The sequence below is a fragment of the Homo sapiens genome, chromosome 16 (genome assembly GCF_000001405.40).
Source record: "Homo sapiens chromosome 16, GRCh38.p14 Primary Assembly".
NCBI lineage: Eukaryota > Metazoa > Chordata > Mammalia > Primates > Hominidae > Homo > Homo sapiens.
This window is the reverse complement of record NC_000016.10, coordinates 8,805,578-8,817,820: the sequence shown is the minus strand read 5'-3', so window position 1 is coordinate 8,817,820 and position 12,243 is coordinate 8,805,578. Positions and strand designations below refer to the sequence as shown.

At 44.3% G+C, this 12,243-nt stretch overlaps 1 protein-coding gene across 2 annotated transcripts in view, besides 1 other annotated feature; it reads right to left on the bottom strand.

Moving 5' to 3' along the window:
• The window catches only part of PMM2 (phosphomannomutase 2), a 51,487-nt gene that overhangs the window by 31,505 nt on the left and 7,739 nt on the right, over positions 1 to 12,243 (bottom strand). For both annotated transcript variants that reach the window (NM_000303.3, XM_047434215.1), the window contains 4 exons: positions 11,414 to 11,505; positions 6,643 to 6,742; positions 6,108 to 6,183; positions 4,715 to 4,830 (listed from right to left, as the gene is read on the bottom strand). In NM_000303.3, the coding sequence (NP_000294.1) occupies positions 4,715 to 4,830; positions 6,108 to 6,183; positions 6,643 to 6,742; positions 11,414 to 11,505 (384 nt within the window). The remainder of the gene's footprint in view (positions 1 to 4,714; positions 4,831 to 6,107; positions 6,184 to 6,642; positions 6,743 to 11,413; positions 11,506 to 12,243) is intronic.
• Positions 3,149 to 3,248: a silencer, noted in NCBI's record as "silent region_7179". NCBI's record gives its function as "represses an Ori minimal core promoter by ATAC-STARR-seq in GM12878 lymphoblastoid cells {active_cell/tissue: GM12878}" and the evidence as "EXISTENCE:reporter gene assay evidence [ECO:0000049][PMID:35858748]".

Sequence of the window (12,243 nt, the reverse complement as noted above, 5' to 3'; positions counted from 1 at the left end):
TCCCACTTTTGGGATCATATACATAGAAAGGCTGGGACATTGTTGGATGATTATAGGTGACTTTCTTTTTCTTCTTCGTACTTTCTCTAATTTTCTATAATGAATGCACAGGTTAATTTACAATTGGGGGAAAGCTTCCATTAAATAATACTCATTTTTTAAAACGTAGGTAAGATTTTAAAAATAGAATCCAGGCATGGTAATGCAATGGTTAAACAGAATAGAAAACCCTCTAATTCCCAAATGAAGAATTCCCAAAATAAGTCATTTTCTGATTATCCAAGAACTGCATTCCATTCTGCAAAGTCCCAACTGAGGCTTCTAAATGGCTATTTACATGAAGCAAGAATGTCATCATTACAGAACAATCTGCTGTCGTGTGTCTTAATAGCTCTCCTCTCTGTCTACAAGAAATGGCACCAAGCTAGAGAAGGACTGAGGAAGCTTCCGGGCATCCCTTAGATCCTAGGTGTCATTTCATTAGCTTAATTTTTTTAAAGACATGAAGTCAGACGGTGATCTTTTTCAAAGCCTGCACTGAAAGCATTTCTGCATCAAAAGCATTTCAACAAAAGGATGTGGTTATAAAACCATATGTAACTGTCATTAAGAACAAACCTGAATGCTACACCTCCTTCAAAGTACCCAGTTCATCTGGGATTTAGAACAAGATCTTTCTACCCCACTGAGAGAGAGCTTATCGTAGTGGAAAGCACACTCATTTAAACAGCAGGTATCACCAGCTGTGGTAGTGCACGCCTCTAATTCCAGCTACTTGGGAGGCTGAAGCGGGACAATTGCTTGAACTCAGGAGTTGGAGTACAGCCTGGGCAACACAGCAAGACCCTGTCTTTATTTTATTTTATTTTAAACAGCAGGTATCTCTTTGTGATCCTGATTTCAATTATTTTGGATATATATCTCTAAGTGGAACTGCTGGATCATATGGCAGTTCTATTTTTAATTTGAGGAACCACTATGTAGTTTTCCATCATAGCTATGACATTTAACATTTCCCACAACAGTGTACAAGGGTTCTAATTTCTCCACACCCTCGCCAACATTTATTTTATCTTTTTGAGACCGAGTTTCGCTCTTGTTGCCCAGGCTGGAGTACAATGGCACAATCTCAGCTCACTGCAACCTCCACCTCCCGGGTTCAAGCAATTCTCCTGCCTCAGCCTCCCAAGTAGCTGGGATGACAGGTGTGCACCACCATGCCCAGCTAATTTTGTATTTTTAGTAGAGACGGGGTTTCTCCATGTTGGTCAGGCTGGTCTCGGAACTCCTGACCTCAGGTGATCCGCCCACCTTGGCCTCCCAAAGTGCTGGGATTATAGGTGTGAGCCACCGCACCCAGCCACCAACATTAAAAAAAACAAAATTAGCCATCCTGGCCCAGTGTGGTGGCTCACGCCTATAAGCCTAGCACTTTGGGAGGTCAAGGTGGGTGGATCACTTCAGGTCATGAGTTCGAGACCAGGCTGGCCAACATGGTGAAACCCCATTTCTACTAAAAATACAAAATTAGCTGGGCATGGTGGCGGGCGCCTGTAATCCCAGCTACTCGGGAGGCTGAGGTATAAGAATAGCTTGAACTCAGGAGGCAGTGGTTGCAGTGAGCCAAGATCGCATCACTGCACTCCAGCCTGGGTGACAGAGCAAAACTCCGTCTCAAAATAAAATAAAATAAAATGGCCATCCTGGCAGGTGTGAGGTTTATCTCATTGTAGTTTTGATTTGCATTTCCCTGAACACTGATGTTGAGCCTTTTTTTATATACCCACTGGCCATCTGCATGTCTTCTTTGGAGAACTGTCTATTCAAGTCCTTTGCTCATGTTTTAAATTGTTTTTTTTTTTGCCATTGAGTTGTTGGAGTTTCTTATACATTTTGGATACTAGCCCTTTTATCAGATATATGGTTTGCAAATATTCTCTTCCCCTCTGTAGGTTGCTTTTTCATTCTGATTATTTCCCTTGCTGTGCAGACACTTTTTAGTTTGACGTTGTCCAACTTGTTTGTTTTGCTTTTGTTGCCTGTGCTTTTGGTGTCACATCTAAAATATCATTGCTTTTTCCCTATGTTTTTTTTCTAGGAGTTTTACAGTTTCAGGTCCTGTGTTTAAGTCTTTAATCCATGGGTAGATGGCCAAAAGGACGAAGTCAGGATCTCAGAGAGGTATCTGTACCCCCGTGTTCACTGAAGCATTATTCATAATGGCCAAGATACGGAAACAACTCATGTGTCTACTGACAGAAGAATGGATCAAGAAAATGGAGTATATTCTGACCGGGCACGCTGGCTCACGCCTGTAATCCCATCAATTTAGGAGGCCAAGGCAGGTGAATCTCTTGAGGCCAGGAGTTCGAGACCAGCCTGGCCAATGTGGCAAAACCCTGTCTCTACTAAAAATACAAAAATTAGCCGGGCGTGGTGGCAGGCTCCTGTAATCCCAGCCACTAATCGGGAGGCTGAGGCACGAGAATCACTTGAACCAGGGAACCAGGGAGGTGGAGGTTGCAGTGAGCCAAGATGGTGCCACTGCACTCTAGCCTGGGCGACAGAGCGAGATTCTGCCTCAAGAAAAAAAAAAAAAAAAGAAAGAAAATATAGTGTATTCATACCATGAAACATTATTCCGCCTTAAAAAATAAGGAAACTTGCCATTTGTGCCAGCATGAGTAAACTGAGAAGACATACTGAGTGAATAAGCCCCTTACAGAAGGATGAATACTGCATGATTCCCCTTGTATCAGATATCTAAAGGTGCTAAAGTCATATAAGCAGAGAAAAGAACGGTGGTTGCCAGGGACGGGGCGGTGGAGGAGGGAGATGGAGAGTTGTTGTTCAATGGGTGTAATGTCTCAGTTATGTAAGATGTGTAAGTTCTACAGATCTGTTGGACAAACAGAAGTGCCTATAGTTAACAATACTGTATTGTACACTTAGAAACTTGTTAAGAGGGAATATCTCATGTTAAGTGTTCTTATAACAATAGCAACAAAAAAATCCCAAACCGCCCCCAAAACCAAAGAGGCACAATGATTAAACTCACGAAACTGTGAGCGTTAAATATGTACAGCTTTTGCTGATCAATTATACCTCAATAAAGCTATTTAAAACATACAAAGAACAGGTAGACTTCTTCTGGTGCCACCAGCTCTGTCATTAGCCGTGTGACCTTCGGCAAATCCCTTACCCTTTATGGGTTTCAGTTTTATCATTCTGAAAATAAGTAACAAGCCTCTACTACCACTGTGTACCCCTCATGCTGGAAGACTGTGACGTGGGGACCCTGCTGAAAAGCAAATCTTTCATGGGTAGATCTTAGCAGTGCAGCAAGGATTTTGGAGTGGACCAGAGATCAGAGGGATGAGAAACTCTGAATATGCAGCATTTATGATGCACCTGCTAGGTGCAGGATGGCGAGAAAGCCTGACACGGGCCTGCTGATGGCAAGGTAACCAACACCCCCAGCCTGCATGTGGGAGGGAGGCAGAGGGGCCCAGAGGATGGGAGTAACTGAAAAGGTGATGGGGCTGGGCGCGGCCTGTCATCCCAGAACTGAGAGGCCGAGGTGGGTGGATCGCTGAGGCAGGCAGATTCCTTGAGGCCAGGAATCAAGACCAGCCTGGCCAACATGATGAAACCCTGTCTGTACTAAAAATCACACCTGTCATCCCAGAACTTTGAGCGGCCGAGTTGATTGGATCACTTGAGCCCAGGGGTTTGAGACCAGCCTGGTTAACATGGTAAAACCCTATCTCTACTAAAAACACAAAAATCAGCCAGGTGTGGTGGTGCATGCCCGTAATATCAGGTACTCAGGAGGCTGAGGCACAAGGATTGCTTGAACCTGGGAGGCAGAGGTTGCAGTGAGCCAAGATTGCACCACTGCACTCCAGCCTGGGCAACAGAGCGAGACTCTGTCTCAGAAAAAAAAAAAAAAAAAAAAAAAAAGAGAAAGAAAAGGAGCTGGCCCAAAGCTGGGTGGTGATGAGCCTCCTCTTGGGCCTTTGATGGCAGCAACGCCTCTCTGACCTCCTGGGGATCCACCTTGCCCCACGGAGAGGACACCTGGGGGCATTTCTTCTATGTATTCCTCCTGCTGGCCCTGGCCTTTAACACTGGGCTCTGCTCTCAGTTCTCAGTTTAGATTTGGCCCTGAACTCGAGATTTCTGACATCCCTTGGGGGCAGCTCCAAGCACCCGCCGTGTGTGATGCCTGGGACTCACTTGGCCTCTTTGCTGTTGCTGGTGTCCTCTCCTGTTTCAGGCTCATGAGATCATTCCCTATCCTCCCATCGTTCATGGCCCCTCGTGTTCAACTTAGAATGAATGCCTCGGGTGGACAAATACAGTGGAAAAATGAGGTTGAAACAGCCAGAGCTTTGAAACGCAGAGGGTTTGACAGTGGCACCGGGGACTGGTATTCTGGAAGGCACATAGGGTGGCCAACGTTTAATTCCAAAGCCAAGGTGAAAAGGTTCAACTAACATGCAGTGTGATCCTTGCCTCCACAGAGGCGTCGGGGGTCTGAGCTTAGAGGGGAAGGTGGCTCAATCACCCACCTCTCCAGGACAGAAGCCACTGCTCAGTTTGAGCAGGGCGGGTGGGTAAAGTGTAGGTACAGGAAAAACAGCCCAGTTGTCAATTTCCCCCATCAAGCGCAAATGCAACAATGAAGGTGCACAAACACTTCTCTACTTACTGGCATAGTTTTGTCTCCAAAGAAATAAATGGTCTTATAACCGTCATTTTCCACATGTCGCAGACAGTATCTCTTGTCCCATCCATCAGGAAAGACATCAAAGCTGATCTGGCCTCCTGCCGGGTGGGGACGGGGCACACAAAGGCAAAAGGTGAAAAAGGGGCTAATGATATGTCACTGAAAAAAACAATTTACTCTTTTGTCAGTTAGTGGGTTGCCAAGGTTGATTTTCAGTACTCTAGTTTGCTACTTAGACTACTTCATGCATAGGTTCTAGAAATTAATTCTACATTGTTTTTTTCCAGCATTATTTCACATAGGTCTAAAATTGAGGCACAGAATGCCAACTCAGAGTGAGAAATGCATTTGCGTTTAAGCGCCCTGTCAAGCGTGTGGTTTAAAGGAAGCATGCTTATGAAAAATCGGATACCAGCCTCATTCTGCTGTGCTTGTCTCGGGCTTTAACACACCCTCAGGGGGAAATGCCCGGAAGCAGGTTGCATCCGGCATATTTTGCGGGAAAAATGAGAATCTTCACTGAAGGTGATTTACAGGCAGTGCTCACGGGCAACAAAAACCCTTTCAAAGCTTTGTCAGAAAGATGTCCATCTCACAGTTCAGGAAGACAAAAAACCCACCCACTCATCTGTTAAATATAATCCCTTTGCCATTCCAGTTTTCCTACAACCTCTACCTTGATGAAAGCTAGTAAAATGAGGAGGCTTTGAGCAATGACTCATTAGCACTGACAAGAGAAATCGGTGTGCAAAGCATTTGGCAGGAATATTCTAACAAAAGACAAGCCTGAGATGTCCGTGCTGCAGGAAGAACTCTGCATTAGACACCAGAAACGTTCACACACTGGCTGTGTAAACAACAGCTTTGTGAACTTGGACAAGTCTCTTCTCCTTTCTGGGCCTCAGTTTCTTGATCTGTAAAAGCCACCCAATTGGCCCCTAAGGTTCCTTGCTGTTGAAACATTCTATGATTCCAAAACATCGGTCTAGTTTACCTAAGGGGTTCAATTCCATGTCTCCCTTATGGAGTTCACTATAGTGCTTCTCTTCTGCCCAAAGGTGTGAGAAGTTCCTACTCTTTAGTAATCAAAGTGCTCCTCTTTTGATGAGAGGAGTCCAGGTAGGAAGAATGCTGTTGGGTAAGAATTTAGAACCAAGCCCAACAGCGTGTAAGCTGTTTCTTGACTAGGCAAGTCCTATTATGGCTAATTATGCAGAAAAGAGAGTGGTTGGTTTTTGTCTATAGACTGGACTGCTCATTTAATCTTCCTGCCCACCTAAAACTGCACATACTTCATTATCAATAGCTCACTGGCCCACAACAAACTCTGGGAAATGGGTATCCAAGTTTGGAACACAGGCAATATATACAATACCTATGGAAAACGTGAGGCCTTTTCCAGCAAACTCTTTCCGTAGATCTGCTACAAACTTTTGTCTTATATTTTCTTTCTGAGAAAAACAAAAAGATACCAATTGTTTCTTGTATTGCAGTTTAGAAAGCACAGTTTTAACTACTGGCCACAAAGGTAGGATTATCTTATTGATTTATTTATTTGTTTAGTTTTTGAGATGGGGGTCTTGCTCTGTTGCCCAGGCTGGAGCGCAGTGGCATGATCATAGCTCACAGCAGCTTCAACCTCCCAGGCACAAGTGATCCTCTTACCTCAGCCAAACAAATAGCCGGGACCACAGGTGTGTGCCACCATGCCCAGCTAATTTTTTTTTTTATTATTTGTAGAGATGAGGTCTCACTATGTTGCCTAGGCTGGTCTTGAACTCCTGGGCTCAAGTGATCCTCCTGCCTTGGCCTCCCAAAGTGTTGGGATTACAGGCATGAACCACCACACCAGGCCATATCTTATTTCCATAAACCCAGCCATTCACCAAAGATATTTCAGAAAGACGTACTTTATCGAGTTCGTAGAACTCAATGCGTTCTTCTTGGCTGCAGCTTCTTCCAATAGGGGACACGTTTAACATCCCATTTCGGAATTCAATGAAAGTACCCCTGGGAATGAAAGGGTGACAGAGTTTCTCCAAAAACACGTTATTCATTTGGGCAACATAGATAAACAGCCTAAAATCTTGGGAAATTCTAAAAAGCAGAGGCTAGTGTGGTCAATGTTTCTCAGCTCTGTGCTATGTAATATGGTAGCCATGAACTACTGTGACTATTAAGACTTGAAATGTGGCTAATATGAATTGAGATTAGATTTGAAAGATTTAGTATGAAAAAGGAATGTAATTGCATCAATCATGTTGTATATTGACTTTGTGTTAAAATGCTCATATTTTGAGCCTGGACAACATGGCGAAACTCTGTCTCTACAAAAAATACAAAAAATAGCCTGGCATGGTTATGCATGCCTATAATCCCAGCTACTCAGGAGGTTGAGGCAGGAAGATTCCATGAGCCTGGGAGATAGGGGTTATAGTGAGCTGAGATCACACCACTGCACTCCAGTCTGGGTGACAGAGTGAGACCCTGTCTCAAAAAAAAAAAAAAAAAAAGTCATATTTTAGAAATATCAGGCTAAATAAAATATATTATTAAAATTCATTTCACCTCTTCCTTTTCATTCTTTCAAAATGTGGCTACAGAAAATTTAAAATTATACATAGCTCACTTTCTATTTCTGTTGCACAGTGCTGCTACTGGGCAGATAATTTTGTGGTTAATAAAGAGCTATGAAAATGATTTCCAGCACTGGCAACAGCAGTCATTTCCTAGAAGAGTTTGAAAATACATGTACCAGACATCTATTTTGCTACGGAGCTTCTGAACAGACTGATAGTACCAAGCAAAGCTACACAGAAAAAGGCTCTGAGAATTGTCCAACGAGCCTCAGTAATAACTGAGGAAATTCAATTTACCCAGTAGCAGACAGCTCCTAAATGTTTGATTTGATCACAGAAAATGAGAAGCTAACATTAGTTTAGTCACTTCAAATGACGATGTTTAAAGATGTTCTTTTGGCTGGGCGCGGTACCTCACACCTATTAACCCCAGCACTTTGGGAGGCCAAGGTGGGTGAATGGCTTGAGCTCAGGAGTTTGAGAGCAGCCTAGGCAATATGGCAAAACCCCGTTTCTACAAAAAATACAAAAATTAGCCGGGCATGGTGGCACATGCCTGTATTCCCAGCTACTTGGGAGACTGAGACAGGAGGATTGCTTGGGCCCGGGCAGTGGAAGCTGCAGTGAACCAAGATCGTACCACTGCACTACAGCCTGGGTAACAGAGGGAGACCCCGTCTCAAAAAACAAACGAACAAACAAAAAATAAAAAACAAAAAACAAAGAGTTTTTTTCCACGGTTTCCAGTTTGAGTCTGAAAACAGTTTCTTTGGCTCACACCTGTAATCCCAGCACTTTGGGATGCTGCGGCGGGCGGATTCCTTGAGGTCAGGAGTCAAGACCAGCCTGGCCAACAAGATGAAACCCTGTCCCTACTAAAAATACAAAAATTAGCGGGACATGGTAGCGCATGCCTGTAGTCCCAGCTACTTGAGAGGCTGAGGCAGGAGGATCGCTTGAACCCGGGAGGCGGAGGTTGCAGTGAGCTGAGAGCATGCCATTGCACTCCAGTCTGGGAGACAGACTCTGTCTCAAAAAAAACAAAACAAGCAAACAAACAAAAACCCCACAACCAAAAAAAGAAAACCACCCAGTTTCTTAAAAGTTCAGATAACTTGTAAGCTAGATATCATTCTGACCAATGAAATTTAAGCATTTTCTGACAAACTATGCAGTGAAAAGTGTCTTCCAGTTCTAAACGCTGATGCCTGGGAACCCTATGAAACATTTTCCCTCATCTTTTTCTACTATTTTAATCTCACAGACCTGATGTCCTGGCACTGGCCATTGGAAATACCGAGAGACCACATGCCACGTGCAGGGCTGATGACCTGATTCCATGTCAGTGTGGCCTCTTAGGAGGCTGTGTGGCTCTGGGCACCTCTCCAAGCCTCCTCTTATTCACCTACAGAAAGGCTAATGGCACTTGCTCTGGTTACCTCCAAAGGGCCTTGTTAAAAATCAAACATGCCAGTTATGTAAAGGTACTTTGTAAACTGGGAAGCAATGAATACTCATTAAAGTAAAAACAGCAAAATCTCAATCGTCTGGATCCTCTCTCCTATTTTGCTCAACTTGCAGAGAAAGAGGCAAATGATGTAACAAAATATGCGAGCCTAAAAATCTCTCTCAATAATCCCATGTCCAGGCCGTCCCGGAGTTGGCAGAGGCCCAGCCTGTCCTCTACCACGTGTGTATGAGCACTGAGGCACTAGGGGACGGGTGACCGTGCCCCGGGTGACCCTAGGGCTAAAGGTCCTAATGATCAGAAAAAGAGCTCAATTAATGCCCCCCCACTCAAGGACATATTCTTCTTCTCATTTCCAAGGCACAGAGAGAAGTTGATGCAGTTTAGAAAGCCTTCCCCAAAACAAGGCTGAAGGTGGTTTACTAAGCAATCAGTTCCGCCCTAAAGACCTGGGCTCTCTGAAGTCTTACTGCATCTGCCTGGCCGTTGTGGGGCATGTAGTTAGTGTTGTCAGGCAAATGTGGACAAATGTGGATCAAGGTGGGTCTCAGTTCTGCCTCCTGGATTCACCAGGTCTCTTCTACTGTTCTGGAATTATGGCTCTCCACATCCCTCTCCCTCGCTAAATGATACGCTCTTTGAGGACAGGATTATGCCTTTTTTTTTTTTAAATCCTCCCTTAGTGCTCAGCCCAAAGTAAAAATGGAACTGACCTGGGATATTTGTATATTTTATCTTTTCGCCATGGAAAATTTCTAACACACACAAAAGTAAACAGAATAGGATAAGTCCTCATGTGCTCATTACCCAGCTGCAACAATAACCAAGTCCATGTCCAGCCTGTCTCATGCAGGCCTCCCCCTCGGCTAAGGGACATTCCTGCACTCTGGCTGGAGATGCTGAGCAGGAGGCGCTCAGGTTATGAATCCTAATAGTGTGAAGCAGCCTCTGAAGTACACCCAGCCCTGAAATTGAATTGCCACTTAATTCCAACCCTGATGATTAAGGTGTTACATAGTAAGTGTTGAAAACTGGGGGTAAAAATGAGAAGGATTTCAAAGAAATCACTTGCAACCTCACCATCAAGAAATAGCCACTGTTAACATTTGGGTCTATTTCCTGCCAGTCTTTAAATTTACTGTCGGCATTTATGTTCATCATTATTATTATTACTATTATTTTAAAAATGGAACTGAGATAATTGTACCCATGGCAGAAGGTAGGTCCCCAAACCAAACATTTATGAAAGCCAGGGGCAGTGGCTAATGCCTGTAATCCCAACATTTTGGGAGAGTGAAGTGGGAGGATCGCTTGAGGCCAGGAGTTGGAGACCAGCCTGGGCCATACGGCAAGACCCTATCTCTACAAAAAATTAAAAAATTAGTCAGGCATGGCGGCATGTGCCTGTAGTCCCAGCTACTCAGGAGGCTGAGGTAGGAGGATCACTTGAGCCAAGGAGGTTGAGGCTGCAGTGAGCTATGATCATGCCACTGCACTCCAGCCTGGGCAACAGGGCGAGATCCTCTCTCTCAAAAAACAAAACAAAACAAAAAACAAAAAGAAAGCCTAGGGAGACAGAAAATGAGAGAAGCAGTCTGTGACTGGAACAAATGTCCATGAGTCAGGTGGCAGCTGCTCAGGTGGCACCTGCCGGCAGGGAACTGGGAGCCGGAGTAGCCAGGTCTCAGATTTGCCAACAGAAGCCAGAAATCCAGATGTTTAAAACATAAAATCAGGCTGGGCAAGGTGGCTCACGCCTTTGACACCAGCAATTTGGGAGGCCAAGGTGGGTGGATCAGTTGAGGTTGGGAGTTCGATATCAGCCTGGCCAACAGAGTGAAATGCCATCTCTACTAAAAATACAAAAAAAAAAAAAAATTAGCTGGGCATGGTGGTGTGCGCCTATAATCCCAGCTACTCGAGAGGCTGAGGCAGAAGAATTGCTTGAACCTGGGAGGCGGAGGTTGCAGTGAGCTGTGAGATCCTGCCACTGCACTCCAGCCTCGGCCACAGAGTGAGACTCGGTCTCAAAAATAAATTCATAAATAAATAAAACAAACATAAAATCAGACTTTTACATGATGGCAATTAATCCGATTTTCTTTAACACTGCAGGCCAACCAGATTTGGGTTTTACGTGGATCTGGCCCGAAGGCTTCCTGTCTCAGACTTCCCGATCTAGGGTTTCTGTTGCTTTTTGTACATGCTGCTTCACTGCTGTTTCCTCTCACTGACAGCCTTTGAAAGCATATGGTCTTCAATGGTTGTATAAATTTCCATCATGTGGATAAGCCATCATTTACGTAATCATTCTTGTACTGTTGGCTTTGTGGACTGTTTCCAATTATTCCTTACTAAGTGCTGGGATTCGGATTTAAATTCGCTGGCCCATGGTGGCTACTGAACCCTGCTGTGAACCAGCAGCACCAGGGCAGCCAGAGAAAATGTGGATTTCCAAGCTCGGCTCTCAGGCTTTCTGAACCAGAATTGCCAAGGGGCGGGCTAAATATCAGACTTTGTTTTTAAAACTCTTTAGGTGATTTTTATAATCCTATTTGGAGAATGCCCACATTAGCCCACCATGTGACACTACGCTATGTTCCTGTGACGCCTCTTTGTTAAAAGCAAACCCACCTCTTCTTCGGGAGTTTAATTTTCGCAATGTAGCTCAGACAGTAGTTGATTAAATCTTGGATTAGGGCCTCACCCAGATGACTTTGAATATTCTAGATGAAGAAAATACTTGAGTTACTTGATTTAGCAGGAGCATTTTCAAAACAGCTTCATAGCAAACCCAGGGTCTTCAGCCACGATTGCTGAAAATCAGTAGGCTGATGTAGCAGTGATGGTGACATGCCCCACTGTCTGTTTAATTCCTTCTCTTATTTCTCTGGTCAAAAGCATTAGGCAAGCCAGAAAAGCTTTAGTCAAAAGCATTTTCTGCTTCATCACCCAAGATTTTTGTACTCATTATTGTTCAAATGCTTCCTGTAAGGTCCAAAGAGCTTACTGCTGCCACTTTTATTCAATTAAAATATCTCCAGATATTGACAGACAATATATTTGTTCCACTTCGGCATTCTCTTATGTCTGAATAGAATGATCTTACTACTACTAAGAGCTACACAGTACCTCTTAAAAATGCTTATAGTGCCCAGGCGTGGCAGCTCACACCTGTAATCCCAGCATTTTGGGAAGCTGAGGCAGGTGGATGACTTCAAGTCATGAGCTCGAGACCAGCCTGGCAAACATGGTGAAACCCTGCCTCTACTAAAAATACAAAAATGAGCCGGGCATGCTGGTGGATGCCTGTAATCCCACCTAGGGAGGCTGAGGCACAAGAATCATTTGAACCCAGGAGGCAGAGGTTACAGTGAGCCAGGATTGAGCCACTGCACTCCAGCCTGGGCAAGAGTGAGATTCCACCACGAAAAAAGAAAAAAGAAAAAAAAAAATGCTTATAG